General features: G+C 39.1%; 1 protein-coding gene and 1 long non-coding RNA gene across 13 annotated transcripts in view, besides 2 other annotated features; one reads left to right on the top strand and one right to left on the bottom strand.

Annotated features, from left to right (window-relative positions):
* Nucleotides 1-1,927: 1,927 nt before the first annotated feature.
* SSBP1 (single stranded DNA binding protein 1) lies at nt 1,928-14,095 on the bottom strand. 10 transcript variants are annotated; one of them, NR_046269.1, is made up of 8 exons: nt 14,006-14,095; nt 13,226-13,292; nt 10,618-10,667; nt 10,187-10,247; nt 8,715-8,855; nt 8,427-8,514; nt 6,832-6,920; nt 1,928-2,105 (listed from the first exon to the last, which is right to left on the bottom strand). NR_046269.1 is itself a non-coding variant. In NM_001256511.1 (7 exons), the coding sequence occupies exons 2-7, from the start codon at nt 13,247-13,249 to the stop codon at nt 2,062-2,064; spliced, it is 447 nt and encodes a 148-aa protein (NP_001243440.1). In that variant the 5' UTR covers nt 13,250-13,292; nt 13,823-14,095; the 3' UTR covers nt 1,928-2,061. The 10 variants fall into 10 exon arrangements, 9 of the variants coding, with proteins under 9 accessions (NP_001243440.1, NP_001243441.1, NP_001243442.1 ...); NM_001256511.1 differs by lacking the exon at nt 10,618-10,667 and having other exon boundaries at nt 13,823-14,095; NM_001256512.1 differs by lacking the exon at nt 10,618-10,667 and having other exon boundaries at nt 13,841-14,095.
* Nucleotides 4,864-5,006: a silencer, noted in NCBI's record as "fragment chr7:141447210-141447352 (GRCh37/hg19 assembly coordinates)". NCBI's record gives its function as "represses an EF-1alpha promoter that drives an FKBP-Casp9 reporter gene in an ReSE screen in K562 erythroleukemia cells {active_cell/tissue: K562}" and the evidence as "EXISTENCE:reporter gene assay evidence [ECO:0000049][PMID:32094911]".
* Nucleotides 14,156-15,041: an enhancer, noted in NCBI's record as "H3K27ac hESC enhancer chr7:141437175-141438060 (GRCh37/hg19 assembly coordinates)". NCBI's record gives its function as "activates a minimal SCP1, AML or CMV promoter by ChIP-STARR-seq in naive and primed H9 embryonic stem cells {active_cell/tissue: H9 hESC(naive and primed)}" and the evidence as "EXISTENCE:reporter gene assay evidence [ECO:0000049][PMID:30033119]".
* The window catches only part of WEE2-AS1 (WEE2 antisense RNA 1), a 34,228-nt gene continuing 28,178 nt past the window's right edge, over nt 14,186-20,235 (top strand). For 2 of the 3 annotated variants that reach the window (NR_199841.1, NR_199840.1), the window contains exon 1: nt 14,374-15,033. This is a non-coding gene — a long non-coding RNA (WEE2 antisense RNA 1). Of the gene's footprint in view, nt 14,219-14,373; nt 15,034-20,235 lie in introns of those variants that run through there. The other variant, NR_015392.1, reaches the window with a different exon arrangement.

Below are 20,235 nucleotides of genomic sequence, written 5' to 3'. Positions count from 1 at the left end.
CTCTACTCCTTTTCATTATGTAGGGATGCAGATAGAAAATAGAAAAATTAAGCCACAAAAAATAGAAATAAAAAAAGACATTAAAAACATTAAATGATTTTCAAAAATTGCTAGGCGATATTAATTGGATTCGGCCAACTTTAGGCATTCCTACTTATGCCATGTCAAATTTGCTCTCTATCTTAAGAGGAGAACCAGACTTAAAAGAATATTAACCCCAGAGGCAACAAAAGAAATTAAATTAGTGGAAGAAAAAATTCAGTCAGCGCAAATAAATAGAATAGATCCCTTAGCCCCAGGTTGGGCGCCAGATGAAGGGGTGGCCTGCCCCTCCACACCTGTGGCTGTTTCTCGTCAGGTGGAACGAGAGACTTGAGAAAACAAAGAGACACAGAGACAAAGTACAGAGAAAGAAAAGTGGGCCCAGGGGACCAGCGCTCAGCATACGGAGGACCCGTGCCAGCACTGGTCTCCGAGTTCCCTCAGTATTTATTGATCATTACCTCTACCATCTCGGAGAGGGGGATGTGGCAGGACAACAGGGTAATAGTGGAGAGAGGGTCAGCAGCAAAACATGTGAACAAATGTCTCTGCATCATAAACAAGGTAAAGAAAAAGGTGCTGTGCTTTTGATGTGCACATATGTAAACACCTCAATGCCTTAAAGAGCAGTATTGCCGCCAGCATGTCTCACCTCCAGCCCTAAGGCGGTTTTCTCCTATCTCAGTAGATGGAATATACAATCAGGTTTTACACTGAGACATTCCATTGCCCAGGGACGAGCAGGAGACAGATGCCTTCCTCTTATCTCAACTGCAAAGAGGCCTTCTTCTTTTACTAATCCTCCTCAGCACAGACCCTTTACAGGTGGCGGGCTGGGGGATGGTCAGGTCTTTCCCTTCCCACGAGGCCATATTTCAGACTATCACATGGGGAGAAACCTTGGACAATACCTGGCTTTCCTAGGGAGAGGTCCCTGCGGCCTTCTGCAGTGTTTTGTGTCTCTTGGTACTTGAGATTAAGGAGTGGTGATGACTTTTAACAAGCATTCTGCCTTCAAGCATTTGTTTAACAAAGCACATCCTACATAGCCCTAAATCCATTAAACCTTGAGTCGACACAGCACACAGCACTTGTTTCTACGAGCACAGGGTTGGGGGTAGGGTTACAGATTAACAGCATCTCAAGGCAAAAGAATTTTTCTTAGTACAGAACAAAATGGAGTCTCTCATGTCTACTTCTTTCTACATAGACACTGTAACAGTCTGATCTCTCTTTCTTTTCCCCACAGATAACAGGGGCAGAGAAAGAACAGAACTACAGCTCCTGTGGCATCACCTGGAGATGAACGATTTCATCTCTAATTATTCAGGTCCTTATTGCTGGTAAACTATGTTTCATCAATGCTACTAATGAAACTGTCCAAAAACAAAAGATATGAAGAAGGTAGGTTAGTCTTAAAGATGTTTAGGTTAGACACTAACCACTGCTCAGCAACTCCCTTCAATTTGAGCTGAAGCTTAGAATCCCATTGGGATGATTCATCTATCAATGCTTACTGAGTGGCTATTCTATGTAAAGCATGGTTTAAAGTGCAGGCAAACAGAAGATTCAGTCCTTGCCTTCATGTCTACAGAGCAAAACGTTAAGAAAATCAATATTTACAAATATGGGATAAATGTCTCACATACAGTGATGCTCAGTAAATTCACTGATTGGACAAATCAATATTGTAATAAAAGTGTATACAAAAACCAGGAGACCTTCCCAAAGCATATTTATCCCTTTGCCATAACACAAATGAGCCTGAAAGTTTACTATTTTGTATACCTGTACATAGAAACCACCCTTAGAAGAATAAACAACTAGTAAATGCCATAACAGATAGTAGCTACCAAGATTATACCACAAAAAGGAGAGCGAGAACGACAGTCAGAAAAAAGATTATTACTCATTTTACGTAAAAGAGTATTTTAATTCTTGTCCTTGGAAGCCATAAAGATTATACATGACTTGGAAATGAGACTGTACCAAATGATGGCCAAAGAAGAATCATCCTTTCTACTCCTTCTCTTTCGTCTGGTCACTCAGAAATATAATATTATCTGTAAAAAAGCCAAAATGTAAATATTAATTTCAGAACTCTTTCTCCATCTCATTCAATAATTCTCCTCTAATACATATAACTTTAGTGCTGTTCATTAAAAGGATTTTAGCCATCTTTTCAAAATATTAAATCACTTGCTATGCTCACGAGAGGTATATATACAGTTGGCATAAGTGGAGCTACAAGTTAGGCACTGGCTGCTTTTCGAACAATTCAGATCTTGTTAGAAGAGGTGGGATATTTCTTGTCTTCCAGTCTTCTCAGAAACAATTTCCTGCAAAAGAACTGGTCACAAAATTGGATGCTTGCAATGGTCAGGCAGATTCCACGACACTAGGCAGCACATCCTCAGAGAAAAGGACAAAAGTGTATCACATTCTACACTCTGGGGGTCTAGAGGAAAGAGTAAGAGTCCATATGTGGCCCTGTTAGCAATGACAGGATTTACTTACGTTTTTAACTTTAAAAATTCAAATAGAAGAAATTTTATTTTTAAATTACAATACAGAATAACTTTTTGTTTTTCCTTTGGAGATGGAGTCTCTGTCACCCAGGCTGGAGTGAAGTGGTGCAATCTCAGCTTACTGCAACCTCTGCCTCCTGGGTTCAAGCGATTCTCCTGCCTCAGCCTCTCCAGTAGCTGGGATTATAGGTGTGCACCACCATGCCTGGCTAACTTTTGTATTTTTAATAGAGACAGGGTTTCACCATGTTGGCCAGGCTGGTCTTGAACTCCTGACCTCAAGTGATCTGCCCGCCTTGGCCTCCCAAAGTGCTGGGATTACAGGCATGAGCACCGCACCTGGCCCAGAATAATTTTAATATACCAATTCTTGGGAACATTTTATGAATCAACATCACAGAGTTAGCATTTTTATCCAAAAATATCAGACGTTGCTCTTAAAATGCTGTTCCAGAGGGAGTTAGCTAAAAATAAACAAAAGAACAGAGGCAAGTAGTAGTCATCCTTCAGTATCCATTGGGGGACTGGTTCCAGGACCCCTATAGATACCAAAATCCACAATGCTCAAGTCCCTGATATAAAATGGTATAGTAATCACATATAACCTATGTACTTCCTCTTATATACTTTAAATCATCTTTAGATTACTTACAATATCTAATACAAGGTAAATGCTATGTTAACAGCTGTTACACTGTATTGTTTCACTTGTATTTTTGTTGTTGTTGTATTATTTTTATTGGTTTCTTTTTTTCACATATATTCAATCTGTGCTTGGTTGAATCCACAGATGCAGAAACAAGGGACATGGAGGAATGACTGCATTTCCTTTATAATTCCAAAAGATTCTTGTAACTATAAAATTATCCACCAAGGACTGAATATTTGTTCATGACCATAGTCTTCCAAAAACTAGAATGTTTTGGTCCAGAACGGTTACTTCAGAACAAACTACTCGAATTAATATCACTGTGGAAAAAGCCAAGAGTGCCATCCACTGGTGGTGGTTTTTTAGTTACAGATAGGATCCCTAGGAGAAAAAAAAATCACCAATAAAACAGATCAACCAATAAACTCTATTTTCTTCAATTCAAATGTCACTGAAGAGCTCTTCAATTTTACCATTAGACATAAACCTAAAGTAAACTGACTGTGCTAGTGGAACCTAGTGACAAGGAAAAAAAACAAAACAGCATATCATCTGAAATGCTTCCGTTTGGCTTATTAGTAACAACTCAATAATCCGAACAATCTAAAGTTTGCCCACACTTGTGGTTTATATTGGGACCCACAGGAGGGTAGGAAAATACCTACACTGCTTTTCAAGGTTAATACACTTTCAAAGAAACTTAGCAGTAAGAAACCATGTGAGCATTCTATACAAATTATAAATTATTAATAAGGTATGGTGGTTAAGACATGAACTCTGGAGCAAAGGAAAGAAGAAAGATAAAAGGCAAATCTAAGAGACTTAAGGTAGAAATCATGTAATATAATGTATGAATGTTTATGAAGTTATCAAGGAAATTTGAACACTACGATATTTAGTAAAAAAATTAACAGTAATTTATTAATATTAGGTGTGATAATAGCACGGTAGTTACATTTTCAAAAAGACACCTTATCTTTTAGAGATCCCTATGGAAATTTATGAATAAACTTATGTCTAGAATCTGTTTCAAAATAATCCAGGTGTAGGTCAAGTCGCTGGAGGCATGGATATAACACTGTCCATCAGCTGACACTGAAGCGAAATGGTAGGAGTTCATTTTACCATTTTTTCTGCTCTTATACATGTTTGACATTTTCCATAGTAAAAAAAAAAAAATTTTTTTTTTTTTTTTTTTTTTGAGAGAGTCTTCCTCTATTGCCCAGGCTGGAGTGCAGTGGTGTGATCTCAATTCGCTACAAACACTGCCTCCTGGGTTCAAGCAATTCTCATGACTCAGCCTCCTGAGTAGCTGGGACTACAGACACGCATTACTAGACCCGGCTACTTTTTGCATTTTGTGTAGAGACAGGGTTTCACCATGTTCCCAGGCTGGTCTTGAACTCTTGACTTCAAATGATCCACCCACCTCAGCCTCCCAAAGGCCTGGGATTACAGGCGTGAGCCACTGCATCCAGCCCAAAAATCAATTTTTAAAAAATATTATCTAGCCGGGCACGGTGGCTCACGCCTGTAATCCCAGCACTTTGGGAGGCTGAAGTGGGCAGATCACGAGGTCAGGAGTTCGAGACCAGCCTGGCCAATATGGTGAAACCCCATCTCTACTACAAATACAAAAATTAGCTGGGCGTGGTGGCGCGTGCCTGTAGTCCCAGCTACTCAGGAGGCTGAGGCAGGAGAATCGCTTGAACCCGGGAGGCGAAGGTTGCAGTGAGCCAGGATCGTGTCACTGTACTCTAGCCGGGGCAACAGAGTGAGACGCTGTCTCAAAAAAAAAAAAAAAAAAAAAAAATCTAATTTGGGCATATCTCAGAAGTTCATAAACACAGAAACATTAATATAGTAAAATTTAGTTTATTGCCATGTATTTATTTTAAAAAGCTTTCTTAGTATTTATGTCCATAAAAGCAAACAAAAGCACAAAATTCACAATGTCTAATTTTAGCAATTTACTCAAGAAGTGAAAAAAGCACCATCTATCTCATTTAAAGACATATTTCCAATATAATTTAAATACATTAAAATTGTTTTGATCAATTAGGTACTAAAAACAACTTTAATGATAAGTCAATTGAGAAGAATTTGTCATAGAATTCTTTTAAATATTTTAAAGTTTCTTTTATGCATGCATTTTTGTTACAAACAGGGTAATAAAAAGTTCTTAACTATACCATATACTATTAAGATACACTTCTGAGGGGAAAATAAAAACAGTAAAACAAGTTCAAAGAAAAAAGAATAATGGAAAATTTCCAAATGCTGAACTGGTATTTTTTTACAGGATAGTAGGTATCACATTGCTATGCTATTTAGATTCCATTGATACATTTAAAAATAACACAATTTTGTATTGAAAAAAATTTCTTAATGTCGCTTGCAGACATCCAGAGGGGTATATTATTTTCAAAATTCTTATAGCATTTTCAAAAGTTTAAAAACTCTTTCCTAAGGGATATCTTCTTAATCTTCTTTAACCTTTACGTGTACATCTTTTCTATGTTGTACTGTATTTTGTTTAAAGAGAATATTAGGCCGGGCATAATGGCTCATGCCTGTAATTCCAGTATTTGGGGAGGCTAAGGTGGGAGGATCATTTGAGCCCAGCAGTTTGAGACCAGCCTGGGCAACATGGTGAAACCTCATCTCTACAAAAAAATTGACAAATTAGCCAGGCATGATGGTGTACACCTGTTGTCCCAGCTACTTGGGAGAAGGCTGAGGTGGGAAGATCACCTGAGCCTGGGGAGGTAGAGGCTGCAGTAAGCTGTGATCACACCATTGCACTCCAGCCTGGTTGACAGAGGGAGACCCTGTCTCAAAACAAAAACAAAAAAAGAGAAAATTAAAAACTTCTTGGCTGGGCACAGTGGCTCATGCCTGTAATCTCACAACTTTGGGAGGCCGAGGTGGATGGATCACCTGAGGTCAGGAGTTCAAGACCAGCCTGACCAACATGGTGAAACCCCGCCTCTACGAAAATTACAAAAATTAGCCAGGTGGTGTGGCACGCACCTATAATCCTAGCTACTCAGGAGGCTGAGGCAGGAGAATCACTTGAATCCAGGAGACAGAGGTTGCAATGAGCCGAGATTGTGCCATTGCACTCCAGCCTGGGTGACAGAGTGAGATTCTGGCTCAAAAAAAATAAAATTAAAAAAATCTTAATTTCAAATAGAAATTTCACATACTAAGTACCAAAGAGGTTCCGAATAAATCTGCACACTCACATTAGTGTAATTCTTATCTTGGCATACGCTTCTTCCTGGTTAGGGCTAGATCCTTCCAAAAGACAATACATTCAGAGTTTTTGTAATTCTCAACAATAAGTACTGGGATGGATAATTCAGTTTTAGGCTTTATTCAAAAGTTACTTGTGACTAAAACTGTAAGTATAAAAATAATTTTTTAAAGGAAGGGATAAATGTACAAACTCTTAGCAAGTAGAGAAATAAGAGTTATGGACATCTTCTAGTGAGTTGCCTTAACTCATAAGTACTGGTACTCTTAACCCTAGTTAGTTACAGTGTAGCCAAGCTTTTAAAAAAGAAAAGGAGAAAAAGAAAAAAACAGCTATTTTCACAAGCTTCTTACCAGCTATGATTGTTGTTGCTTGTCGCCTCACATTATTTTTATCCATGTATTCACCATAGTCTATTTTCCCTTCCAAATAAATTCGAGACCTGATATAAATAAAATGTACAGTTTTTAGTTGAGATCTTAATATGCTTTATAAGAGTCAGGTCAGGGTGGTACTGAGTATATGACAAGGATGAAATATATAATCATATATAAGCTAATTTTTGCTACCACTTCTCAAGGTTCAGGATTAGGAGTACTGAAACAGAGTGTCCAAACAGACTTGGTAACATCTAGGTAAAACAGACAATGTTTTCATCTGTCAGCTATTTCTCTTACGGAAGTTAAAAAATAAAACAAAACAGTTCAAAGGGAAATTTAGTGGCAACATTTAAATCTCTAGGAATAATTTCCAATGTATCATTTTCCTTGACCTTTGATTTTGGAGTCCCTAACAGACTTGATTTTCACTTATTTATCAATTATTTTCTATGACCTTAGAAACTTAGATGATTAAAATTCAAAATATGGATTTGTAGTTAGTTTAGTATAATATTACCCTGAGTTAATTACTAAGACTATTTCTACACTGTATCAGCTTAGTATACCACTTAGAGGTAATTACTAAGACTATTTCTACACTATCTAGAGGCTAAACTAGATAACAAACCTAATCGTGATTTTCAAGAGTGGAAAGATGACAATAGTACCAGTTTTGAGAGTCTACCACCACCAAAAAAGTACAACACAGAAAGATTAGTGAAACATCAGGTGCTCCCCACCCCACACACACACCCATCAATCAGTAAGTGGGAGTGCAGACACTTCCCTTGAAATACCTTATATGTGTTTGTGTGTGTATGTGCACATATTCATAAACATACATAAAGGGCAATGAAGATACATAGGAAGAAAAGCTATACAGTTATTGAAAAGAAAAATTTTAGTGATTGCTAAATTATTTTTCATAAAATATGTTTTCTTTCTACAAAACAAGTACATTTCTAAACATATTAACTATCAATACAACTGCTGTTACACACACCGTTTTGTCCTTCTATGAGTTTGGAAAACATACTTTTTATACATACTCAATCCAAGCCTTCCAAAAGGGAACTATTAAGCCTACAGAAAATCATCAAATATAAAATAACTGCCACGAAGATGAAGTTGGCATGTCAGGCTTCAGACATTCCAGATCCTCTGCTGGAAATACCATGTGGCAGCCAACAGGCAAGAAGCCACCCTCAGCATCCCCGGCCACAGAGGCACAGGAATTCCTCAAAGCAGATGTTTGACTTGCTCAAATGCCACTTGATACACTTTGCCTTCTCTCCTGCCTCATCTATTTCTATTTATGTACACACCCTGTTTGCCCTAAACTGTAAGTTCTTAGAAAGCTAAAACTATGTTTTATATATCTTCAAATTAGTCACACATGGCAACATGCCATGCATATAGTATCAAGGACTTAGTAAATACCTCTTAAATTAATACAGTCATTAGTAGTACTCAGGGATTTAAGAGACTACACACTCCTTGCCATGAGAACACTTCTTATCGGTTCTTTAAATCATTCAATTCATAAGATCCTTCCCTCTTCAACTTACCCCTTTTTCACATATTGATATGCCACGTCTCTGAGGCCTGGCCGGAATACTGATATTCTGTGCCATGTTGTCTTTTGACTGACATCACCTAAATCATAAAAATAGGAAATTGGTTACAAATGCCAACAGACAACATGCCCAGGAAAACCAATGTCACGATTTCTAAGAGAACAAACAGAATGAAAGACAGATCTTGTTTAAAGTGGTTTATCTCTAAATTAGATAACTGGCAATAAATAATATCTATTTATTGCTGATAAAATTAAAACCCCAGTCTTTTGTACTCACCCAGTTGGTAAACTTCACTATCCCCTGATCGCCACATCTCATTAGTTGCTAGAGAAAATATTGTGACTGGATTTTTTCCTTCCACCTGTCTCAAGACAGGGTCCTGACCCACTCGCCCAAGTAAGTGCACACGATTCAGGGCTGAAACACAACATCAAGACCAAATGAGACAACCTGCTATAGACTGAATAGTTGTGCCCCTTCCCCCAAAATTTGTATGTTGAAGCTCTAACCCTCAATGTAATGGTATTTGGAAGTGGGATCCTTAAAAGGTAATTAGGCTTAGATGACGTCATGAGGGTGAGGTGTCCCTATAGGAACAGGAAGAGTTCAGAACTTTCTGTCTCTACCATATGAAGACACGGTGAGAAGGCAACCATCTGCAAGCCAGGAAGACAGCCCTCGCCAAGAGCTCAATCATACTGGCACACGAATCTTGGATTTTTAGCCTCTAGAACTGTGAGAAATAAATGCTGTTGGTGAAGCCACCTGGTCTATGGTATTTTTTTATAGCAGCCTCTAAGCTGACCATTAAAGAAATCCACACCTGGCTGGGCGCGGTGGCTCACGCCTGTAATCCCAGCACTTTGGGAGGCCAAGGCGGGCGGATCACAAGGTCAGGAGAGAGAGACCATGCTGGCTAACACGGTGAAACCCCATCTCTACTAAAATACAAAAAATTAGCTGGGCGTGGTGGCGGGCGCCTGTAGTCCCAGCTACTTGGAAGGCTGAGGCAGGAGAATGGCATGAACCCGGGAGGCAGAGTTTGCAGTGAGCGGAGACCGCGCCACTGCACTCCAGCCTGGGCGACAGAGCAAGACTCAGTCTCAAAAAAAAAGAAATCCACACTCAAGACTGAGAGAAATGTCCAGAAGAAATGCTATAAATATGACTTCAACTTCAATCTCTGCATTAAGTAAAACCCAAGTTCTGGAAGATCAGAAAATAAGTTAAGGAATGAATAAGGAGAGGTTGCGAGAGAAGAGAGTTGGCAAGAAAGAAGAAAATAGTCATAGAGAAAGCAGCCCCACAAAACAAACTGTAAGCTCTAGATCTTAAATTCTTTAAGATATCTTTTTTAACTGACTGTGGAGCTAAAAGAACAAATCTGAGATCTGAAAATCTTTATAAACACAAGGGAATATTTCTGTGAAGAAACAATATCTTTTACAATCTCAGCCTAATACAACATAACCCGGGAAGACTCAGATAACCAAATATGACTCAAGGAAATTCTTATGCAGGACAGTGTTGACAAGAATGAGTAGTAACTGGCTGATAAGGAGAACAGGGGCTCAGTTTATACTATGTCTCCACAGCCTGATGTGTCAAGGCTAAGATCTGAAGAGCAAACATGAGCTAAAAGCACAATGGCAACATGGTTAACCCAAGCAGCATACCTCTTCTACAACACATTTGAGATTGGCAAATTACTAAAAATAACATTTTAAACTTGGAAATTAGCTACTTACATCTTTCAAGAACCAAACTGGTAGTTGTTTCGGACTCATGTCTTACAAACTGACGAAGTACCTAAAGAAGAACAAATGAATAACATGGCTTTAATTTTTTAGGAAAGGCAAATGCAAACAGAAGAATTACTCACGTTCATTCACCATATAGTCAGTAGTTCCTGAAAATTCCAGAAGAGAAGAGAAGCTCTTCTCATGTTCTCCCAACAGAGTGCCAGAAGGCCCCGGCAAACACTTCAAGAGCAGCCTAATGCAGAAGCCCAAAGGTAGAAGGAAGGTACTAGAAGGCATGCTCAAAGTTAAGTTATAGTACTCCCATTTATTTTGCGACATCTCCTTGATTATGGCACTTCTGTGTTTGCACACAAAAGGAAAAATCAAAATAGTATCACTTTAACATTACAGAGTATGATAATATTTGTAAATCCAACCTGTACCTAAGAGTTGCTGCCAAGTATTTTCAAAATCCAGCTTTCATTAGCTGGAAAGACAAAAAGAGACAAAAAGTACTACATATATTCAATATATACATCCTCTAATTTTTTTTTTTAGTATAAACAACTGGTATATTACTACTGTATTTTGGTTACAGTAGACTTTAGAAATTAAGAAATTTAGATCCAACATGGGTACTGATTTAATCCATCATTAGACCAAAGGAGAGTTAAAAGAGATGCTTTATAATTAATAATTTAATAAGTAGATTCATTAATAACATATGCAATGATCAAACAAGTGTCAGGAGGTGTGGAATAAATGCAAAGCCTTACTCTCAGGCATAACGAACAGCCAGTTAGAGGAGAGTCCCCAACCTCCAGGGCTGAGGACTAGTAGAGTTCTGTGGCCTGTTAGGAACCTGGCTGCACAGCAGGAGGTGAGCAGCAAGCAGCGAGCAAGCATTACTGACCAAGATCCGCCTCCTGTCAGATCAGCAGTGGCATTAGATTCTCACAGGAGCAGAACCCCATTATAAACCGCTCATGCGAGGGATCTAGGGTGTGCACTCCTTATGAGAATCTAACTAATGCCTGATGATCTGAGGTGGAACAGTTTCATCTTGAAACCATCCCCACGGCACCCCCCTCCTCCATGGAAAAATTGTCTTCCATGAAACCAGTTATCAGTGCCAAAAAGGTTGGGGTCTGCTGGTTTAGAGAACGAGAGATAGGTTACATTCCAACAAAACAATACATTCTAAAACTAATCACATGAATGACTTTCTGACACAGCAACAGGAACATATTCCAAAGTCAGATTCCCTGTGTCTATGAAACTGCCTTCCCCTGGTTGCTCCTTCAGACCTTAAAAGGAATTAGGATACCTAATATGACTAATCTAAAGTGTTTCATTTTAAAATAAGCAAAAATTATGATACATAATACCTACTTCACAAGGCTATTGCAAAAATTAAACAGCTTCAGTAGTGAGCTTAGCCTAATACAGTTTTTATAAATATTTCATAGGAAATTTCCTGTTTTTAGTGCATCAAAAAAGGTCTAATAAATTTGGTTCTTTGATTAAACACAAAGACTCGACTGTCCAAGTCAAAGTCACATCACTGTCAGCAAAGGTAGTCACTACCACATAATAGCAGCAATCATTACTGAATATCAGCTAAGGGATTTATCTATTATCAATTCTAAAACTAAATCTACAAGTTATGTAAAATTATTCCCATTTAGGGCTGAGAAAACACCTCAGAGAGACTGCATCACCTGCCCAAGCTCCTGCAGGAAGTATGTGGCAAGTGATCTCAAGGACCCAGGGCCCTTGACACCAATGCTACTGCTTTCCCGAAGCCCTCTGCTGCCTCCTTAATTTCAAGAGCTCCTGTAAAGATGGGAGTACACATCACTGAATTCAGAGCTCAGAGAGCTAGCCATTCTATCAGAGAAACATTTTTGAAGTGGCAGTACTGTTAATATAAAAAGCAGAAGTCCACCAATCAAATAAACACCAATCCCCAGGGTGCTGTTGGCTATCTAATCCTATCACTAAACTTAGGAGCAGAGGGCAGATAAGAAAATAAAGATATGAGTACAACATACTATAGAATCAAACTGCTAATGAGAACCTGTGTCATGATTCTGGAAATGTCATTTGAGTGCTCAGACAAGCTAGACCTCATAAATCTTACACAGAGATTTATAATAACAATGTCTCATTTGGGGCACACAAAAATCTACTGGAGAAGATTAGGAAAGGATTATTTAACTTGGATAATTTTTTAAATTAAACTTTTAACTCTTATTTAAAGACATTTTAATACTGTAACGTTAGTGTTAAGAAGCAATAACTTTTTCATGTTTCACATTTCAATACAGAAAAAAATAGATTAAAGATACATACAGGTTAAAGTGGGGATCCAAGAATATAGGATTAAGGTGGGGAAAATGACAGAGTCATGGAGGAACTGGTTCTTCATTGGTCTTCACAGGAGGATGGGGAGTAGGAGAGCCAAAGAAGAATCTACAGGAGCTGGTGCCCGAATGTGGTAAGTGAGGAAAAATGGTAGTCTAAGCTGGCTCAAGGTGGGCTAGTGTCTGGAAAAGTGAGGACCCATACTAAGTGGAATGAGAAGGCATTTTCTACATAGTGAAATCTCTGGTGACCACTGAGACTTGAGATGCTCTCTTCAGTGTGGAAAGATGGGGGAAGAGGAACGTTTAGCAACACAGGAGGTAGATGGTCAAAAAAGCAACTACATGCCTTAAGAAAAAAGTTGGAACAATGATTCCTACAGTCTTTAGGTCACTAAAGACCTTTAATGTCCTCTCACTGGTTAAATTCAAGCAACACACACACATTTTAAAAATTAATGATTCCTATTACGTGTGAATAAACCTGAACTTTTTTTTTGTTTTAGTGAACATAATTTACACTGGCAAAATCGTCCCCAATCCTCCATATCAAATGAGTATAGAGGTGGGTGGGTGAGCTCAAAGGTCTTTTGCCCCTGTAGTTAAAAGCCTAAAGAAGTCTTCTGATCACTGTGGCTGATAGTAATACATCTCAGTATTAATACAGACAAGTGACTACCTGTAATACAGGTCTTCGAAACATGGCTTCTATTTTCTTTTCTTACAGTCTAATCTTTAGGCTTTTCCTGAAGGAAAAAAACAAAATAAGAAAAAAACATTACCTCTTATGGCAAAAGTACAACTCACCAGTCCTAAATTCCTAACTATATTCATAATTTTTATGCACTCCAATTTTGTGACCACAACGTACCAACATTCCTGCACATCTGATGAGGATTCCTTCCTCCCTCCCAAATAAACTCACACCTGTATGTCTTTTTGGTCCCAAATAACTTCCTCTTCCTCCAACCCATCGACAAAATTTTGATTCTGAGTTAATCCCACTTCCAATCCACTGTCTTCTCAAATTTCATTACTATGCAAGCTCCCTTAGAGCAGAGATTTGTATCTGCTTTATTCACTGCCATTTTCTAAACTTCTAAAAAAGTTCTTAATGCATAGTAAGGCCTCCATAAATATTAGCATCACCAAGGGACTTATATCTGAAACCTGTTACTGAAAAATTACTGCCTTCATCTCCGTTAACAAAGACCAAGCAGCGTAGAGACCCCCGGGCTAGCCAGCCACACCATAGGGAGAGGTGGACACCCTTTACCGAAGATGGCGCCACCACCTGAAAACCGAGGAGAACTGGAAGGAAATCACGCGGTCCTCCGCACGACTGATGAAAGGGCCAGACACCTACACAGAAACACCTCCCGACCCACGCAGGATCACGCGCAGCCAAAACACACGACTCCAGCACTTCCTTCGCGCTGGCTATCCCTTCCTCCCTCACCTGACGATCTAACCCGAGCAGCCCAGCCACGCAGGGGATCACTTCCGGCGCACAGGGAACGCAAAGCTCGCCAGAGGAAAAAGGAAACAGAAACTCCGCAACTTGCGCCTTGGAAATACTGCCGGCTAGCGCTGCGGGAAACGGCTCCCCTTAACTCTGAAGTTCCGCGATCTTCTCTTTGTGCGCGGGCGGATGGATCAACGCCGCCAAGTGGTGAGTTTGGAAGGTTTCAAGTTTAGAAGGTTTCAAGTTTAGAAGGTTTCAAGTTTGGAAAGAAATGAAATTATGTGATGAGGTTTCTAACTGGGCCCAGGAGGGGGCGAGGTAGGCAAAACAGAGACTAGCTCTGCCTGGAGGGAAAAAAAAGCAACATTTGTGACCAGCCTAGGCGACATAGTGAGACCTGTCTCTACAAAAAATATATAATTAGCTGGGCGTGGTGGCGCGCGCCTGTGGTCCAAGCTTCTCCGGAGGCTGAGGTCGGGGGATCGCCTGAGCCCTGGAGGTCGTTGCTGCATTGAGCCGTGAACGCACCACTGCATTCCAGCCTGGGCAACAGAGCGAACTCTATCTCAAAACAAAACAAAACAAAACAAGAAAAAGAAAAAAAGAAGAAAATTAAAAAAAAAAAGAAAGAAAAAGAACGTCCCAGGTCTGTTGAAGCACTAAGAAAAGCAGAAAAAGAAAGGGGAGCCAGGGAAGGGCTGGCAGGCTGTGCAATTTAAGGGAGCACCAGAAAAACTGGCAATCAAATAATATATTAATGTAATATTTTAAAAAGTAAAAATTAATGCAGGAAATCCGGGAGGAACAAAATAAGAGTCATGTGTACCTTAACAACAGGGTAAGGTCTGAGGATTGCGTCATTAGGCGATTTTGTTGCTGTACGAACACCACAGAATGTACTTTGACGACCTAGATGGTGGAGCCTGGACACACCTCGGCTCTGTGGTGTGGCCTGCTGCTTCCAGGCTGCAAACCTGACAGCATGGGGCTGTACTGAATACCGCAGACCATTGTAATTCATGGTAAGTATCTGTGTGTCTAAACATATGTAAACATGGAAAAGGTACAGTACAAATGCGGTATAAAAGATAAAAATGGCACACCTGTATGGGGCGCTTACCATGAATGGAGCTTGCGGAACTGGAAGTTGCTGTGGGTGAGTAAATGAGTGAGTGGTGGCCCAACATGAAGGTCTAGGACATTATTGTACCCACTAAACACTTCATAAACACTGTACACTTAGGCTACACTCAGTTTATAAAAAATACTTTTCTTCCTTTAATAAACTTTCACTCACTATAACTTTATAAATCTTCCAAATTTTTTTACGTTTTAACTGTTTTGTAATAACAATTAGCTTAAAACACACACTGTACCACTGTACAAAAATATTTTTCTTATATCCTTATTCTACAAGCTTTTTTCTACCTTTGCTTTTTTTCTTTTTTTTTTTAACTTTTTAGCCATTTTTTAAAAAAACTAAGACATAAACACACACATTAGCCTAGGCCTACACAGGGTCATTATGATCAATCTCAGCCTTCCACTTCCACATCTTGTCCCACTGGAAGGTTTTCAGAAGCAGTGACACACAGGGAGCTGTCATCTCCTATAACAGTGTCTTCTTCTGGAATCCCTCCTGAAGGACCTGCCTGAGGCTGTTTTACAGTTAACTTTTAAAAAATAAGTTAAATAATAATATAATAAAAAGTATAGTAAATACATAAACCAGTGACATAGTCATTATTAATATCAAGTAACACATGAGTAATACATTGCATTCTGATGTTTTAGCAGGTATGATGTCACTAGACGATAGGAATTTTTCAACTCCATTGTAATCTTATGGGACCACCTTTGTATATGCACTGTTGTATATGCAGTCTTTTTCCAAAACATCATTATGAAGTGCATGACTGTATTAAAATTTTAACTGAATACAGGATCCAAGCCAGACTGGAGCCTGAGGCACAAGGAAGAATATGCACCCCTGTGTATATGTGTACTTATGTATTTTTAAAAATTGGGGCTAGGAAGGTTAGTGGGGGGCTGGAGGGAAGGTGGGGATGGTTAATGGGTACAAAAAAATAGAACGAATAAGACCTACTATTTTCGATGGCACAATAGGTTGACTATAGTCAATAATTACTTAACTGTACATTTTAAAATAAGAGTGTTATTGGATTGTGTGTAACTCAAAGGATAAATTAAGATGATACCCCATCCCCCATGATGTGCTTATTTGACGTTGCATACCTGTATCAAAATATCTCATGTACTCCATAAATATATACACTTCCTTTGAACCCACAAAAATTAAAAATAAAGACAAAAACAAAAAAAAATGTTTAATTAAAAAAATTTTGGCCAGGTCCAGTAGCTCATGTTTGTAATCCCAGCACTTTGGGAGGTTGAGGGGGTGGATCACTTGAGCCCAGGAGTTCAAGATCAGCTTGAGCAACATGGCAAAACCCTGTCTCTGTAAAAAATACAAAAATTAGCCAGGCAGCCGGGCGCCGTGGCTCACGCCCATAATCCCAGCACTTTGGGAGGCCAAGGCGGGCCGATCACGAGGTCAGGAGATCGAGACCATCCCGGCTAACACGGTGAAACCCCGTCTCTACCTAAAAATACAAAAAATTAGCTGGGCGTGGTAGTGGGTGCCTGTAGTCCCAACTACTAGGGAGGCTGAGGCAGGAGAATGTCGAGAGCCCGGGAGACGGAGCTTGCAGTGAGCTGAGATCGTGCCCCTGCACTCCAGCCTGGGCAACAGTGCGAGACTCCGTCTCAAAAAAAAAAAAAAAAAATTAGCCAGGCATAGTGGTATGTGCTTATAATCCCAGCTACTGAAGTGGGAGGATCGCTTGAGCCTGGGAAGTTGAGGCTTCAGTGAGCCATGATCACACCACTGCACTCCAGCCTGTGCAACAGAGTGAGAGACCCTGTCTCAAAAAATATATATATGTGTGTATATATATATGTGTATATATATCAATATGTATGAATGAAATATGTGTGTATATATATCTCAATATATATACACATATATATTTTTGAGACGGTATATATATATCATCACACAAAATATATGTATGTATATATGTGTATATATATCAATATATATGTATATGTGTTATATATCAATATATATACACATATATTTCCAGAACATTAAAGTAGTTGAAGAAGTATTGAAAATTTTTAAAGTAGATATTGTAACAAGAAAAACCCAGAATTGCATTAATAAAAACCTTCCCCCAAACTGAGAGGAAGCCGAGAAACCAAAGATTGACCCAGACAAGTCCAGCTTGGCGAGTAGAGGAGTTTATCAGGACTTACATACAAGGCACTCCTGGATGGCAGCATGACAGCTGTAGAGATCCGCCTGGCCTCCCATCCCTAAGCTACTTGTAAGCTAATTTTCTGGCTTTTAGCCTACTGTGTGTGATGGAGCTGTTTTCTTTGGTAGGTTCTCAGATATTCTCTGGGATGTTTGGCTTCTCAAACAGCTGCTCTTTGGCTGGTCACCTTGGCCTTGCCACATGGCCTTCAGGATTCAGGCAGTGGACATACACTCTTTAGTAACCCGGGTGGGGGGGACCTGTTACACTACAGGTGTATTAAAATTCACAACATTGTTTTAAGTTTAAATATTTTATTTATGCCAAGATGGATGTAATATAACTTTACTTTTAATGGAAGTAAACTGATCAGTAATGTGTTCAAATCTGCTTTGCTTGTTTTGAGAGAATTGCCATGCCTTCACAATTTTTCTTGACCAAGTAACAACCTTAAATAATTTTAATTAACTTCAGCTTACTGATCTTGTCTTTATTTAAAATTTTGGTATTTTATTCATCATGAATTTTTTTCATTAGTTTTAATATTTTAAGAATATTTCATTAAAGTATCACAAATCTTGATTGCTGAGTTCCTTGGTGCCCCTTAAATTCCTTCTCATTTACGCTAACCCTGGGCCTAGTGGGAAAAAGGATGTATGGAGCCCCATAAATTGCAGAACCCACACCAGCGGGGGCTGCCCCTTCCACTCCTTCTCCTGGTCCTGGCACTGTCCAGACTGTGGAGAAAGAAGGTACCCACCATATTGTTCTAACAGGCAAATCACCTCCTCAGGCCTCTACCTAAAACCTTTCATCTGCCCATTTTTGCCATTTAGGGATAAAATCTTAAGATAGCTTCCAACACACACACTTTAACGCACTCCTGAAGGTCTTGCTCACCAGTTGGTAAACTGTATTTCTAGATGCTTACCTCCATTTTACTGGCACCTTCACAATGTTGAGCTCCTAAAACATACCATGTTATACTGCCTTCAAGCCTTGCACAGGAATTAGTAATCCCACACCCCACCTGCTATGTTACTACTGTCAATGACTTCCAATGATTTTCTCTTTAAAAATCCTGCTTCCACTTGAGGGGTAGAGTCAAATGAAAAACAATTCACCCTTTTGCCCAAAGTCAGTTTCTCCCTTCTAAGCTCCTTGTTTAATGGTACCAAGATTCTCCCAGACTTGAACTTTGTAATCAGCTTCATCTCTCTCTGACCACCAACATCCATTCACCTGTATCCAATCACTTGGCCCTAAAATTTCTTTCTTCATGATGCCACTAATATCTCCCTTTCTATTTGCATACTTTGGAGTAAGGAGTGTGGGAGAAGTTGTATAAAGAAAAATACAGAAAGCACCATGCAAATTGAAAACAGACAACCTGGAGCAAACTCTTACAACTTTATAAATAACATCTTAGTGGAGAGTCTGGAGTACTCTGAATTCTCAGACAGGAATTGCCAATACACATTCTCCCGAGATTGCTGGCTGGAGAGAGTCACAGTGCTGCTACTTCAGTTGTTTTTTCTTTGACAAAGAAAAGCATGATAAAATGTACACAGTTTTTTGATGTAAAATGTCATGGAGAAATTAAAGCATTTTCTTCTGTTATCAAATGGATCCCTCTTCCTAACACAACAAATGCTTCTGTTGCATTGCTCCATCCTCAGGATCTGAACTGCACTCCCCTCACACACTTTCAGACTTCTTCACTCAAACGGTCCTTCCTTTCTGTTCTCCCATTTCATTTTCTTTCCTCACTCAGTCCATCTTATAACAAATGATCACAAAGGTACCTCATCCCTCCTGTTAACTGTGAGCTCTTAGAGGTCAAGGAACTTGTGAATATCCAGTTCACAGTATACTTTAAAACAAGGACAGGCTAGTAGGGCCCAGGCCACAGGCCAGGGTATGGAAATAAGAATCCAGAAGGGATGCTCAAATAAGCATTCTTATTTCTGGGAAGAACCCAGAAGGATGCTCAAAGAGCCCTAAAATTATTATTTTTTTAATCGAGGACTTAGAATAGTGACTCCAATGTATTTTTGTATCAGAGATACCCTTTCAGAAACCTAGATTTTGCATTTTGATGAGGAAGCCCTGAAACCTCTCCATAGGATACACATAAACACACTTTGTGTAGTTCATCCATGGACCCAGAGATGGCCTTCCCAATGCTGTGAAGTGGTGACAGGTAGCATTATGGCTTTAATCAGCTTTAATGCCTGGCAGTAGTATACTGACACAGGGCTTTTTATCATTTGCAAAGATGAATGAGAAAGAAATGTGTATCATAAATGCCCAGGGGTGCAAAGTCACCTTTGGCCTGACTTGTTTCTCCCTAAATTAAAAAGGTTCCAGCTATAGGCATCCATTGGTAGAGACCAAGACTGGCAATACTTTATCATAAATAGGAAGCCTTGGACAGTTTTGCTGTAAATTATCCATTTTTAAAGAAATGTTAATCAGGTTTTTACTTTGATTTTAAATCAGCTTACCTAAAGCCTCATAACTACTGAAAAATTGCAGCACTTATTACCTACACTGATTACTTGCATATATTTTAGAATGGTTTGAAAGCAATTTTAGTAATACTTAGTAGTTATTATGGCTATTTTTTAATTTAAAGAAAAACCTGACAATTTTTATCTAATTCAAGATTGAAAATATGGTTCATCTAGAGATAAAAAGCCTTAGTCGTTCAGGCTGAAAGGGTCATACCTTTCAATATTCATCTTTCTACAACTTTCAGTAAATGGATTCTCTAAACTGGTACATGTGTTAGAGCTTATTAGACCAGTAGAGCGCAATAGTGTTCCTCTAGATCTCAAGAGTATCTGTTGGTACCTTAATGTCAGTGTTGACATTTAGAAT

The sequence above is a fragment of the Homo sapiens genome, chromosome 7 (genome assembly GCF_000001405.40).
Source record: "Homo sapiens chromosome 7, GRCh38.p14 Primary Assembly".
In the NCBI taxonomy this organism is placed as follows: Eukaryota; Metazoa; Chordata; class Mammalia; order Primates; family Hominidae; genus Homo; species Homo sapiens.
The sequence above is the reverse complement of the archived record's forward strand: the minus strand, read 5'-3'. Positions and strand labels throughout refer to the sequence as shown.

Excerpts from the sequence above, each read along its gene's own strand:
- SSBP1 (XM_005250051.6), bottom strand. The coding sequence starts at position 13,249 with ATGTTTCGAAGACCTGTATTACAG. Across the intron at positions 8,856-10,186 it reads CAGTTTGGTTCTTGAAAGAT|CCCTGAATCGTGTGCACTTA; the intron begins GTAAGTAGCTAA and ends GTTGTGTTTCAG. Across the intron at positions 8,515-8,714 it reads TAGTGAAGTTTACCAACTGG|GTGATGTCAGTCAAAAGACA; the intron begins GTGAGTACAAAA and ends TTTATGATTTAG.